At 39.1% G+C, this 14,866-nt stretch overlaps 1 protein-coding gene and 1 non-coding gene across 5 annotated transcripts in view, besides 1 other annotated feature; both read right to left on the reverse strand.

The window, feature by feature from the left end:
- The window catches only part of NDC1 (NDC1 transmembrane nucleoporin), a 72,819-nt gene that overhangs the window by 4,351 nt on the left and 53,602 nt on the right, over positions 1 to 14,866 (reverse strand). For all 4 annotated transcript variants that reach the window (NR_033142.2, NM_001168551.2, NM_018087.5 and 1 more), the window contains one exon: positions 2,501 to 2,661. Coding sequence is in view for 3 of the 4 variants with exons in the window: in NM_001168551.2 (NP_001162023.1) it covers positions 2,501 to 2,661 (161 nt within the window). In the remaining variant the exon portion in view is untranslated. The remainder of the gene's footprint in view (positions 1 to 2,500; positions 2,662 to 14,866) is intronic.
- Positions 710 to 1,272: an enhancer, noted in NCBI's record as "H3K4me1 hESC enhancer chr1:54236211-54236773 (GRCh37/hg19 assembly coordinates)". NCBI's record gives its function as "activates a minimal SCP1, AML or CMV promoter by ChIP-STARR-seq in naive H9 embryonic stem cells {active_cell/tissue: H9 hESC(naive)}" and the evidence as "EXISTENCE:reporter gene assay evidence [ECO:0000049][PMID:30033119]".
- On the reverse strand, positions 1,190 to 1,325 carry LOC124900439 (small nucleolar RNA SNORA58). Its single transcript, XR_007067395.1, has one exon. It is a non-coding gene; the product is annotated as a small nucleolar RNA SNORA58 (small nucleolar RNA).

Here is a 14,866-nt window from a genome sequence, read left to right on the forward strand (position 1 = left end):
TCAGAAGTTAGGGGAAACACCACAGTCTAGGTTAGGAGTATAGACACTAGAGATAGAACCCTAGGGTTAGAAAGATTTGCATCTGAATCCTGGTTCTGCAACTCACTACTTGCATAATCTTGGGTGAATTACTTAAAACACTAGGAAACTTGCTCACAATCACAGATAGCTAATGATGCAAGCAGACAGAAATCCAGATATTTTAACTCCAGATCTAACATTCTTTCCACTATACGACACTGTCCTACATTTGTACAAATAGCCTCCACTGATTTTATCAGCTTTGGCACATATATAAAATATGGCTCTTTTCAGAGAAAAGAAACTAAGGTGGAATTTCATTCTCACAATTTTTATTTTATTTATGTATTTATTTATTTTTGAGGCAGGGTCTCGCTAAAATATGGCTCTTTTCAGAGAAAAGAAACTAAGGCGGAATTTCATTCTCACAATTTTTATTTTATTTATTTATGTATTTATTTATTTATTTATCTTTGAGGCAGGGTCTTGCTCGGTCGCCCAGGCTAGAGTGCAGTGGTGCAGTATCGGCTCACTGCAACCTCCACTTCCCGGGTTCAAGTGATTCTCCTGCATCAGCCTCTGGAGTAGCTGGGATTATAGTTGCCTGCCACCATGCCCAGCTAATTTTTGTATTTTTAGTAGAGAAGTGGTTTCAACATGTTGGCCAGGCTGGTCTCAAACTCCTGACCTCAGATGATCCGCCCGCCTTGGCCTCCCAAAGTGCTGGGATTACAGCCATGAGCCTCTGCAACCGGCCCATTCTCATAATCCATTCTCATAATTTTTAATCAGTCATCTATATCTCTTTTTCTTTTTTTTCTTTGAGACCGAGTCTCGCTCTGTTGTCCAGGCTGGAGTACAGAGGCACGATCTCGGCTCACTGCAACCTCCGCCTCCTGGGTGCAAGTGATTCTCATGCCTCAGCCTCCCGAGTAGCTGGGATTTCAGGTGAGCACCACCACGCCCAGTGAATTTTTGTATTTTTGGTAGAGACGGGGTTTCACCATGTTGGCCGGGCTGATCTCAAACTCCTGACCTGAGGTGATCCACCCACCTCGGCCTCCCAAAGTGCTGGGATAACAGGCATAGACCACTGTGCCTGGCCTATATCGCTTTCTTATCTAAATCCCTATGCTCCCCTTTTCTTCTTGCCTTTTTTCCCCCAGGGGAATGTTACAGTCCTGCTATTTATCCAGCCACTGATTAAGCTGGATAAAGCTGGCAGGAACTTCAAATTAATCTCGAATACAATGTCCCCCCTGCCTGGACATGAGCACAGTCAGGCAAGGTCTACGGGTATGCCCTTCTCCTTGCTTTTGTTCTATCATTAATATATGTCATATCTATTTCATTCTCTAAATTCATCAGTATTTTCTGAATGTGTCCTACATACTAATTTATATCTTGGAGGCAGTCTAGTGTTGTAGATAGAAAGATGAAAGATTTTTAAGAGAAAGAAAGACTTGATTTCAGGTTCATGTTTAATACGCACTAGATTGTGCTATCAGGCAAATTTTAACATCTCTATGCCTCAGTTTTCGTATCTGTACAATTATGATAATTTCTACACTTCACAGGGTCTTTGAAAAGAGTAAATGAAAAAACATTAAGTTCTAAGTGTATTGTCTAGAATAGCACTATCTGATAAAACTTTCTGGAAGTAGGGAAAGATGTTATACTTCTGTTGTCCAATACAGTAGCTACTAAACACATGTAGTTATTAAGTACTTCAAATGTGGCTAGGGTGACTGACAAATTGAATTTTTAACTTTATTTAACTTTAATTTAAATTGGAAGTCTTAAACTATTCATTGATTGCATACAAAAACAGCAGAGCAATCTCTCGTGTCTTCTAAAGTTCATTTATAATTGTGATAAATATAAATACAGTTTAGTTACTAAGCTAGTATCCCTCATCCTGCCTAGCTAGATCATTTCACAAGAGGAAAGCAGTAAACATGAATAAAACTAAATATAAACAGGCTTGGCATTTGTGGTTTTCTCTCTGGTTCTGTTTCTCAAGGTGTTGTGATCTGTTGGTGTTTTTCCAGCATGAATCACAAAGCACCAGGGATTCATTTCTGGAATACTTTGCTCACCCCAAGTCTTCAGTTTGCTGACCAAGATATAACAATAGAATTAGTTTTAATATGCTTTTCTGGAAAGGTACTCGGGTTTTCTGCTCTTTTTTCTCCCTTAAGGATCTTTTGATAATTTAAATATATATATATAATTAATCTGCTGCATTTATAACTTTCTGTCTTCTTTTGTCCATTTGAAAGAAATCCCCAAAGCTTTATGATGGGCCAAATTTTAAAATATAAATATTAAGTCCACATCCAAGCTGTAAGTTTACAGTGAGAATCATCAAGGTCCCAAAAGAACACTTTCAACACATGAGCCTTATCATTCCCATACCTATTTCTAAGGAAAGCTCCCCAGAATAGGTATCATCATGGATCAAAACAGGTAAACTTACTTCAGATGTTCACCAAATGTAGTAGTTATTCGATAGATGGCAGTTTTCAGTGATGCTCTGAATGCAAATCTTAATGTTTTATATGAAGTGTCCACAAGGCTTCCTGAAATCCGGGGTGGTTTACTGGAAGCATGAGGAAGCTTAAAGTACTTGTCGACTGCCTACACCAAGAAAGAAAACACATCAGTTTAGATTATAAAGAAAGCCAACCTAGGCCAGGTGCTGTGGCTCACATGTGTAATCCCAACACTTTGGAAGGACGAGGCGGGAGGACTGCTTGAGCCCAGGAGTTCCACTGTACTCCAGACTGGGCGACAGAGATCCTGTCTCAAAATAACATAACATAACATAACATAACATAACATAACATAACATAACATAACATAACATAACAAAACAAAACAAACATAATATAACATAAAATAAAATAAAATAAAAAATTAAAAAGAAAAAAGTCACTTCAGTCCAAAGAATTAAGATTTGAGATAGATACAAATGGATATATACAGAGAGATATACACATATCTATAGCTATGCTGTAACACATTTCTTACTGTAGATCACAGTCAAAATAGTTTCATAAACAATGCAATAGGGAGGCTCAGCTACTATGACAGTTACCAGGCCCCCCCCAAAATCCAGACTTGCCCTTGGAAATGAAGCTATCATTCAATATCCTTGAAAATGCAAAGCTTGAAGTCAAACACTGATGTCCTACTCTGCTTATGATGTGACAGCCAGGAGGAGCTTTATTAAAAGACCTCAGCAAAAAAAAAAAAAAAGACCAAAACTTTATACTTTACAGAAATAGTTATTCACTAAATAGTTTATCTTCCTTTTCAATTCAGATAAGGCATTTATGATACTGTTACATCATGAGGTCCCCATGGAAAAATAAACTGACAAGATACAACAGTATAAGCGTACTATTTATAGTTATGAATGTAACCACCAAAAGAACTGAAAACAAAAATAATTAAAATTATTTTTGCCATCAAGTTCTTAATTTCAAGAGCTCTTTAACATCATCTGTTCTTTTTAATTTTAGCATCCTATTTTTGTTTCAAAGATGCAATATCCTTTCTTATTTCTAAGGATTCTGATGACAGCTTTTTTGTTTTTTAGTTTCTTCCAAGCTGATTTTCCCCCTTTGCTCCCTTTAGTCTCCAACTTCTGCATGAGAGACTTTCCTCAGAAATCTAGTGATCCTCGTTCACAAATGCAAGTGGGACCTGCTAAAGAGCTGAGCACCAATTCTAAGTGCATGACTGGGGATTACAGACGAGCGGCTTCACAGTGGGTCATCTGCAGGGACTTTTGGGGCGTGAACCTTCAACTCAGTCACTTTAGGTCTTTCTTCTTGGACTGGTCAGAGTGCCCAAAGAAAAGTCTTCTAGTATCCTGACTACAGGGCCTGCCCCAGTGTTCTGAAGCCAGGTGGACACCAGGGCTTTGGAACTCATCCCTCTCCTTTAGTGCAGCACCCACAACTCCCCCAGACTGGGTGTTCTACTCTCTCTTAAAGGATAAACCTCAGACTACAGTGGAAGAGGAGCAATTACCCCACATCATAGGATCTAGGGATCTAACTAATTTTCAAACAGCTCTCACCCAAACCTCTTTATTTTGGGTACCTGTCCCTTCACGCGTGGTTCTAGAGTTACTTGGTGCTTCTCCCACCACCAATTTGAAATCTGCCTCTGGAAACTGCTAAGTTAGCGATCTCAACCATCTGCTTTCCAGCTTTGAAAGTTTTGTTGCTATTATGTCCTCTCCTGTTTATGGATTTAAGTATTATAAAATACCTTTCCTATAGTTTAGCAGAGTTTTGGGGAAGGAACAAAATTTGATGCATGTGTTCAGTCTGCCACGGTAACTTTAGCATTACTTAATATTTCACTGAATTTCACTGAATTTAGTGTTATTTAAGTATTTCACTGAATTTCAACTACTACCTAAAATTATCTCAAGCATGTTCCAGTCTTGGGAAACACTTTTAAAAGTGACAGTTGAAAAAATAAATGATTGGACTCAGAGTTATCGTGGCAGATTGAACAAATGCATCAAATCTTGTTCCATCATAATGGAAAAGTTATATTCTTTTCAATTTTCTTGCAAATGTCCTGATTAACCCTCAGTATACCAGGAAAAATAATCATCATCATTAATGCCTGGGTCCTATGAATACTTTATATTTTTTGTAGTCTAAAATCATTTTACAAACAATTTACAGATGACAAGGTAATGTAAAATAACACCATAAAACTTTAAATAAGAAGGCCAGGCACAATGGCTCACACTTGTAATCCCAGCACTTTGGGAGGCTGAGGCAGGAGGACTGCTTGAAGCCAGGAGTTCTAGACCAGCCTGGGCAACACAGAAAGACTCTGTCACTACAAAAAATTTAAAAATTAGCTGGATGTGGTCCAATACCTGTAGTCACAACTACTTGGGAGACTGATGTGGGTGGGAGGATTACTTGAGCCCAAGAGTTCAAGGTTACAGTGAACCATGATCATGCCACTGTACTCGAGCCTGGGCAACAGCGCAACAACCTGTCTCTAAAAAACTAAATAAATAAAATAAAATAAAAATGAAAATAAGAATATAAACACGGCAAATCCAAATTTTTATTCCATATTTTCTAGGTTTTGAAGGTATACACACCTGAAATAAGCAATGTCCTTTGAATGCAACTAGCTGTTCACCAGCTATTATGCATAAATCTGGAATATATCCATCTTGTAAATACTAACTCAAAATTTAGGCTGTATCTCTAATAGGTTCTAGCTCATCAATTCTTCTGGTTCTTTTTCTTGCATTTGCACCATCAAAATGCAGTACCTTAAATAACTTTTGACAACTCATAATTTTGCTGAAGAAAGTACAGCCATTTTCTTTGCACCTTAATTGCAAAACATTTTCTTTTTCTTTCTTTTTATTTTTGAGACAGAGTATCACTCTGTCACCCAGGCTGGAGTACAGTAGTGTGATCTCGGCTCACTGCAACCTCTGCCTCCAAGGTTCAAGCGATTCTCCTGCCTCAACCTTCCAAGTAGCTGGGATTACAGGCGCCCGCAACCACGCCCAGCTAATTTTTTCGTATTTTTAGTAGAGATAGGGTTTCACCATATTGGCCAGGCTGGTTTTGAACTCCTGACCTCAAGTGATCCGCCCGCCTCAGCCTCCCAAAGTGCTAGGATTACAGGCATGAGCTACCGCACCTGGCTGCAAAACACTTTCATTCTTAGGTTTATAAATACAAATTCAAATGATCAATTCCAATGGCTTTTTTTCTTTGACATCACCTATTGCCTTCTTATCTTTGTATACACACAGCTACCTTCAGCACTTATCCCCTTACAAATTGTATAAAGCAAATTTTGGTGCACAAATACAACAGCAAATGAAGGAACACTGGTCATGTGTACTCTTAGCAAAATGAGAGATTTAAGTTCTTATTATAAAATACTGTGGGATGAAGTCTTTCCTGTTGAATGACTTACTAGATAAGCATACCACATATATTTCCTTGCTCTCCTTAAAAACATATTGTTCTGTAATCTTTGAGTTTCAGGAAAATATATCTAGAATATCATCAACTGAAGGTTCACAGTCTGAAATTCCTTTTTTTTTTTTTTTTTGAGACGGAGTCTCACTCTGTCATCTTGGCTGGAGTGCAGTGGCACGATCTCAGCACACTGCAACCTCTGCCTCCCTGGTTCAATCGATCCTCCCACCTCAGCCTCCCTCGTAGCTAGGATTACAGGCATGCACCACCATGCCCAGCTAATTTATTGCTATTTTTAGTAGAGACGGGGTCTCACCATGTTGGCCAGGCTGGTCTCGAACTCCTGACCTCAAGTGATCTGCCTTCCCCGGTTTCCCAAAGTGCTGGGATTACAGGTGTGAGCTACCGCGCCCGGTCCTGAAATTCCTCTTATATGATCAATTTCACCATCATCATTAAAGTCTAGAGCTATGCTGTCCAATATGGCAACCACTAGCCACATGTAGCTATTGAGCACCTGAAATGTGGCAGGTCTGAATTGAGATATGCTACAAAGTGAAAAACAAACACCAGATTTCTAAGAATTAGCATGTAAAAATGGATATAAAAGATCTCATTAGTAATTTTATCTTGATTACATGATAAAATGATACTACCTTAAATACTGGGTTAAATAAACTGTACTATTAATTTCACCTGTATTTTGTTAATGTATCTATCAGAAAATATAAGATTACATAGGTGACTGCATTTTATTTCTATTGGACAGAACTGGTCTAGAGTGCTGCTATCTGTCTCTCTGCATTTGTCTTCCAATGTGTCTCAGTAATTGTTTTAACATATTGGCAATTTTCTTCCCTTTACCATGTGGACAGAAAATTTAAAAATTATGAATTATCAATTGTATTCAATGAAAACTAAAAGACTACAAAGATGTGTGTCTAGACTTTTCATATAGCTTTTCATGAAAAATCATGCAATACTACATGATTTTATCATTATTCTGTTTTCATATTAGTCTTTTTTACAACACAAGAATAACTAATGAGTAATGATAATTCCTAGGATAATCGATAGCAAATTGTTACAAGATAGTGAAAATGTACAATCACTAGATCTATAATATACCTTAGATTTTAAAAGGGCCCAACAGACCTACATGGATAATTGCAAGAGAATAAATTTTGTTGAATTTTTTTTTTTTTAGAGACAGGGTCTCACTCTGTTGCCCAGGCTGAAGTGCAGTAGGGCAAGCATACCTCACTGTAGTCTCAAACTCAAGCAATCCTCCTGTCTCAGCCTCCTCACTATTAGAGGCTACAGGTGCACACCACAGCACCCAGCTAATTTTTTTTAAAACTTTTTATAGAGACAGGATCTCGCTTTCTTGACCAAGCTGGTCTTGAACTCCTGGCTTCAGGCAATCCTCCCACCTCAGCCTCTCAAAGTGCTGGGATTACAGATGTGAGCCATCATGTCCAACCTTGTTGAATTTTTTTTAAATAAGTAATTGCTCTCTTTGTTCTCTAAAAGACCTCTAAGAAAGAATAAAGGTCATAAAATAGCAATCTTTATAAATAGTTAGAAATGCTCAAAATAGAAATGCAAAAAATTAGGTCCAACACACCCTAATGGTATAAGCGTTAAATTAAGAAGGAAAATCTCAGTTTAGAGTAAATGTGTCCTTAACCCCTCTCTAGTTCTTACTAATCTCACACTATCCACATTTGTAACAAAAGATAAGCAGGCCTCAGGTTCAGAGACCTCAGCAAGTAAGAGTATCAAGCTAGAATTTAAAATCATTGACTTTTCTCACTTTAATTGCCTTATCCTCAATTCTGATATCCAAAAAGCACTGAAAACAAAAAACTTCTGCAACCTTATTTTTTCTTTTTGAGACAGGGTCTCACTCTGTTGCCCAGGCTGAGTGTAGTGGTATGATTACAGCTCACTGAGCTTTGACCTCCCAGGCTCAAGTGATCCTCCCTGCTCAGCCCCCAAGTAGACGGGACTATAGGCGTGTGCACCTCCCCACCTAAATTTTGTTGTTGCTGTTGTTGGAGACGGGATTTCACCATGTTGACCAGGGGCTCAAGCAATCCATCAGTCTTGGCCTTCCAAAGTGCTGGGATTACATGTGTGTGCCACCGCGCCCGGAGAATCTTTTTTTTTTTAAAGTGATGTGATGTTGTAACAAAAGATGTAAATCTTTTGGTGGCAAAAGCTGACCTGACTTGGACTCATCTGGCAGTAAAACATGACCTGTGCTGACACAGGCTATTTATAGTCTTCATCCCACTTTACCCCACTTAATCTGAATATTCAGTTAACCGGAGAAAAGCATTAATGTATCCGATTAAGGGGATTCTACCTCAGATACCAAAAGGAATGTAATATAGTATATGATGTGTGTGTGTATATACACACACACACACACACACACACACACACACACACTGTCACATTTTTAAAATTAATAAACATCTGAATTCTGAAATACATGGTAAGGTTTGAGATAAAGGACTATAGACCCATATTCTATTTGTAGCAAGTCAAACTAGTTTTCCTTTACTATAGTCATAAAATTTCCTTTACAGTAGTCATAAAGTTTCCTTTTAAAATAAATGACTTGGACGGGCATGGTGGCTCACGCCTGTAATCCCAACACTTTGGGAGGCCAAGGCAGGAGGATCGCTTGAGCCTGGGAGTTGGAGACTAGCTTGGGCAACAAAGTGAGACCCTGTCTCTTTATTAAAAAAGAAAAAAAAAAGAATAAATGAATGACTTAAAACACTAAGTAAATAAAAGCTCAGGGAAATAAAATATGACTAAATGACAATAGTATGTGAAAATATAGTTATGACAAAAATTATGAAGATAATATATGAATAGTTTAAACTGGGTATCTGTCTGACACTATGTCTGCTAGATTGCTTGCTAACAGTATTGACAGCAATACTTTTTTTTTAACCTTTCTTTTAATCTGAAAGATCTTTTCTCCTGTATAAGAATTATCATGTGGCTGGATGCAGTGGCTCACGCCTATAATCTCAACACTTCGGGAGGCCGAGGCAGGCAGATCACTTGAGCTCCGGAGTTCAAGAGCAGCCTGGACAACATGGCAAGAACCTGTCTCTACTAAAAATACAAAAAAATTATTGGGCATAGTGGTGCGTGCCTGTGGTCCCAGCTACTTGGGAGGCTGAGGAGGGAGGATCAATTAAGCCCAGCGTGTGAAGTTGCAGTGACCAGTCTGGGTGATAAAGCAAGACTCTGTCGCAAAAAAAAAAAAAAAAAAAAAAAATTGTCATGTAACATAGGAATAATGACAACAAAGTAGTAAGAGCTAACATTTACTAAGCACCTAGTATGGGTCACACATGCCAAGGGCCTTACAGAGATAATCTCATTTACTCTTCATAACCCTATGAGGTAGCTAGCTACCATTATCATCACTCCCATCTTCCAGATATAAAAACTGATGTTTAGAGATTGCCATATTTATTAGTTCTATAACATACTTTTTTTTTTTACATTTTATACTTTCTGAAATGAAGGTATATGTTCCAATTAATGGCATCTTAGATTCAAAGAAATATAATAAATGTTATTTTCCAACTAGGAAACAGTAGAAGCTGGAATTCAGACACAAGTCAGTCTGATTCCAGATCTCACACTTTGGCACATCTGCCATACTGCCATTCTATCGTGAAAAAGGAGGTTAAGAAATGCAAAACTCTGCCAAGCTCTCCCAAAGGTAATCTAAAAGGGTGGCCTGCGAAGGACTTGGGGTCCAAAACCCTAGTTTCCAATTCTGACTCAGCCATTTACTAGGTACAATCATGAATAAGTTGTACTCACACAGAAAATAGTTTCTGAAAGAGACTTCAACATGCAAAATAAGCCTTCTTTTAACCTCACAGGGTTTTACAAAAAACATTTTTAAAGCATTTCTTTTGGAATACTATGCAAATGTTAGGTAAAGCAGCATAGGACTTCATAGAAACCGAGAATAGACTCTGACTGATACAATGTTGGTCAAGGGTCTCTGGGCCTTCAAATCCATAGCTCTGGCCCTCAAGAATATTCCTTTCTTTCCCCCATTCCTCCTTCCAACCCCTACATTCTCCAGGAGCCATTAATTATCTCACATCTCTCTATCCCCTACTTGCAAGACTAGCTCAGATTCACCTGTCATATGTTCTCTGATCATCCTGCATTTCTTTTTTTTCTTTTTTTGAGATGGAATTTTGCTGTTGTTGCCCAGGCTGAAGAGCAATGGCACAATCACGGCACAATCGCAGCTCACCGCAACCTCTGCCTCCCAGGTTCAAGCGATTCTCCCACCTCAGCCTCCCGAGTAGCTGGGATTACAAGCGTCCGCCACCACCCCCGGCTAATTTTTTGTATTTTTAGTAGAGATAGGGTTTCACCATGTTGGCCAGGCTGGTCTCAAACTCCTGACCTCAGGTGATCCACCCGCCTCAGCCTCCCAAAGTCCTGGGATTACAGGCGTGAGCCACCGCGCCCAGCCTCATACTGCATTTCTATGCACAGTGGCACTGTGGCACTGACTACAACTGTAGTTCTTTGTATGATTATCTGTTTTACATCCTGTAAGCTCCCGGAGGGCAGGAACCCTGTCTTTTTCCATTCTGTATCGTATCACATGCTAATTGCTTGATAATTAAATAGTTACTGGAGGGATGGATCTGTGAATGGCATAAAGGTAAACATCAATATTCCAAATAGATCAAAATTTGACCTTCAAGTGACGAGGCAAAAAATATAATAGATAGGGTTGATCAACTTCATTAGGATGACATTGGCCTTTCCACAGAAACCAAGGCTATCTAAAGAATGTAAAACATATTTTAAAGATGAAAAGGTTCTGGAGATGGATGGTGGTGATGACTGCATAACAATGTGAATATATTTAATGTCATAGAACCACACACTAAAAATTAGATTAAAAAGGTTAATTTTTATGTTATGTATATTTTACTAAGTTTAATTTTTCTTTCTTTTTTTTTTTTTAGAGACAGGGTCTCACTCTGTTGCCCAGCCTGGAGTACAGTCACATAGCTCACTACAGCCTCAAATTCCTGAGCTTAAGTGATCCTTCAGCCCCAGCCTCCCAAGTAGCTGGAACTATAAGCTAGCATCATCACACCTGGCAAATTTTTAAAAATTTTTTTTATAGACACTGTCTCACTATGTTGCCCTGGCTGGTCTTGAACTCCTGACCTCAAGCTATCCTCCTGCCTCAGCCTCTCAAAACTCTGGGATTACAGGCATGAGCCAACGCACTTAGCCAAAAAAATTTTAATTATAAAATATATCATTTTGGTTCCTAACATTTTGTATGTAAGCACCCTTTTTAAAAACAACAATAAAATCCTATGGACCTCCAGAGGATAATACTTGTTGTCCATCCACTGATAAAGGAAATAACTACTATGAACTCAGCAATGCTTTCAAATGAATTTGTATTTTAATTAACCAAAACAGCATGTAAAAACCTCTGAGAAAACAGCTGCAAATATGTTGGAGAAATGGTAATCATTCAAATGAAAGTACATATGTCCCTTATAATAACAGTGATCTCCAGGATGGTCTGGCCACTGGCTGAAACCACTGAGCTAGCTAGCATATCCATCACTCTACTCCTTGCCCTCTGAATACTTTGAAGGATGAAAGGCTCCCCTTCCCTTTCACATTTTGCCTTTAATGATTCAGTGAAATGGCTGATGTTATTCATACTGAAAAGTAAAACAAAAGGATAGAACAGTTCCACACAATTGTTCCTTAGTAACACCCAGAAGCCAGTAATGTACAACTTGCCTTAAATTACAGAGATACTTAAACTTACGCTCTTCACTTTGATCCCTTCTAGACCAAAGAACAGAAAGCCAAAAATATATAACAGGGATCATATGAGTCACATCACATTCCTGCCTCTCAAAACAAAAAGATGGTTTGGGAGCATTTTAATCAACCCATTGCATCAGAACTGTCACTAAATTTAAGCCCCAAAACAGAAGTCTTCGTCCACTGAACCAGCAATGATGCAATCCAGCAGCCATCCAACAAGCATTTAATAAGTGCCTGTCATTTGCCAGGTACTATATCAGATGATGGGAATAGAGGCGAGACAAAGTCCCCACCTCTACTCTAGCTAATATGAAGAGGAGACAATAAAAGTCAATAAAGACAATAAAGTGTTGAGGGGGGAGTTACAGAGTAGAGTCAGACCAAAGGAGAAAAATATGTTCTAGACAAAAAAGGAAAGAAAAGGCAGCATGTGCAGTTAGAGTCAAGTTAAGAAAATAAGATATATTTGGTGGGAGGCAGAGACTGAATAGTCTATGGTAGTTATAAGAGCAGAGGACTCATGGGAATAGCAGAGTGGCTGGAATCAGAGCACGAAGTAACTCAGTTGAGAGTCCATAGGAGCAAGAGGATGTAATAATTCAGGACAAAAATGCCAAGATCCTGAAGCAAGGCAGGAAGGATCAGCAAGAGAATGGGTGGGTAATGGAACTGCCACATGGGTGCAGCTCAAGGACATGGGGACAAAGGAGTTGAAGGAATTGGTAATAAAGTGGTTGAAATAATAGACTGCAAGGTCTAAACTGGACACAGAAAGGCATATACGCAAGTCAGGAGGGAGCTGAAAGACAAAGAACATGGGGAAAAGGAACTGGAAATCCTGGTAGGATCAAAGAAACTGTACAGAAGCAGCAAGGACATGAAACGGCTGTGCCTGGAGCAAGGGCTCTTACATTGGGTCCATAGGCCTAAGGGAAAAATTCAGGGGGTACAAACTTGAATTACACATTTATCTTTACTAAGATCTAATTAAAATCTAGCATTTCCTTCAACTATGAATGTAAGCAACAAATCATAGTAGCATTAGTAGTTCCTGTGACTTTGTCACCAACAGAAATCACCAACATCTCCATATCCCAATACGATTGTTATAGTTATCTTGAAATATCATTCATCTTATCCCTACCTCAAAATAAGTTATTGGACTCACTGACAGATCTTGTTATGTAATGCAGTAATTAAAAACCACATATTACTATATCATAAATTTAACGTCTTGATAATTTCAATATAACTGATTTTTTTTCTAATCCTAAGCACTTTATGCATTTAAGAACATGATTCTGAGAAGTCCATGGGCTTCAACAGACTGCCAAAGGAATCTTTGGAACAAAAACATTTAAAGACTCTAGCTTACAGGGTAGAATCCTGGAGTTTCAAGATCTGGCGGTGGAGTACTCAGGGGATAACTGGGCCTAGGTGATAGTTGTGGGTTGAGAGGGTATACAAATGGGTAGTGAAGAGGAGGAAGTCAAAGAATTGTGCAGACAGGGTGTGGGGCAGATTACCCACACAGACTCTGAATTACTCATTACAATCAACCTCAGGATGTAGAGTGGAAAAAAAAAAGACTATGAGGCAGTTTTCAAAATCTGATGATGGCAGAGCATGACCAAAAGGTTGGTCATGATGTGGCTTAAGGGAAGATAGACATTATAAGCCTTATATAAGGAGGAGTTTTATACTGAGAAGCTAAGTATCAGGTCACTGGTCCTGTTCTCTTTGTTCCATCTTTTCTCAACATCCAAAAATATGCCTCTTTGCCTCGTTCTACTCTGCCCCTCGAAAGTATTCTCCAATCCAACTCCCCTGTTTCTAAGTAAATAGGGCCTGCTATGACTTAAATTTGTCACCCAAAAGCATGTGCTGGAAACTTAATCCCCAATGCAGCAGTGTTGAGAGATGGGGCCTAATGGGAGGTGTTTAGGTCAGGAGGACTCCACTCTCAATAATGAATTAATGCAGATTATAGAGGGGTTTAATACTGTGAGTTCGATCTCTTGCTCTCTCTTGTTCAGGTGATCCCTTCTGCCATGTTATGATTCCGCAAGAAGGCCCTTACCAGATGCAGCCCCTTAATCTTGAACTTCCCAGCCTCTAGGACCACGAGCCAAATTAAGTTTCTGTTCGTTATAAATTACCTAGTCTGTGGTATTCTGTTAGAGCAGCATGAAACAGAGCAAGACAGGGCTTGACCTTTTGACAAATCTGTAATTCCTATTTTCCTACTCAAAGGTATGAATGACTATAATCAAACAGATTGCTTTCCTTCTAACCAACTATGAAGAACCAGAAATTCTGATGGTGGTAGAGTTAAAAGCAGAGTAATTTTGGTATAGAATACCTCTAGGGCAGGCAGTGTGATCTTTATGAAATCAATTCAGTGAGTTTTAACCAGCATTTTAAAAAATGAAATAGAATGAAAAATATTAAAATGCACTACACATAGTAAAAGGTGAGTACTGTTCCAAGAATCCTTTATTTCTGTTATCTACACACACACACACACACACACACACGCACACACTATATTTTGAGTCTAATGTAAATGCACTGCAGATCACAGTCCAAAAACTTTGAAAGCCACAGTTCTAAGGGTAGAATCATTCTCTCTGAAGAAAGAATAAGGGATGTGGATCAAGCCAGGCGCAGTGGCTCACGCCTGCAGCAATCCCAACACTTTGGGAGGCCGAGGCAGGCGGATTACCTGAGGTCAGGAGTTTGAGACCAGCTTGGCCAACATGGTGAAACCCCATCTCTACTAAAAATACACAAATCAGGCCGGGCGCAGTGGCTCACGCCTATAATCCCAGCACTTTGGGAGGCCGAGGTAGGTGGATCACGAGGTCAGGAGATCAAGATCGTCCTGGCTAACACGGTGAAACCCCGTCTCTACTAAAAATACAAAAATTAGCTGGGCGTGGTGGCAGACACCTGTAGTCCCAGCTACTCAGGAGGCTGAG

Source organism: Homo sapiens, chromosome 1 (assembly GCF_000001405.40).
Source record: "Homo sapiens chromosome 1, GRCh38.p14 Primary Assembly".
NCBI lineage: Eukaryota > Metazoa > Chordata > Mammalia > Primates > Hominidae > Homo > Homo sapiens.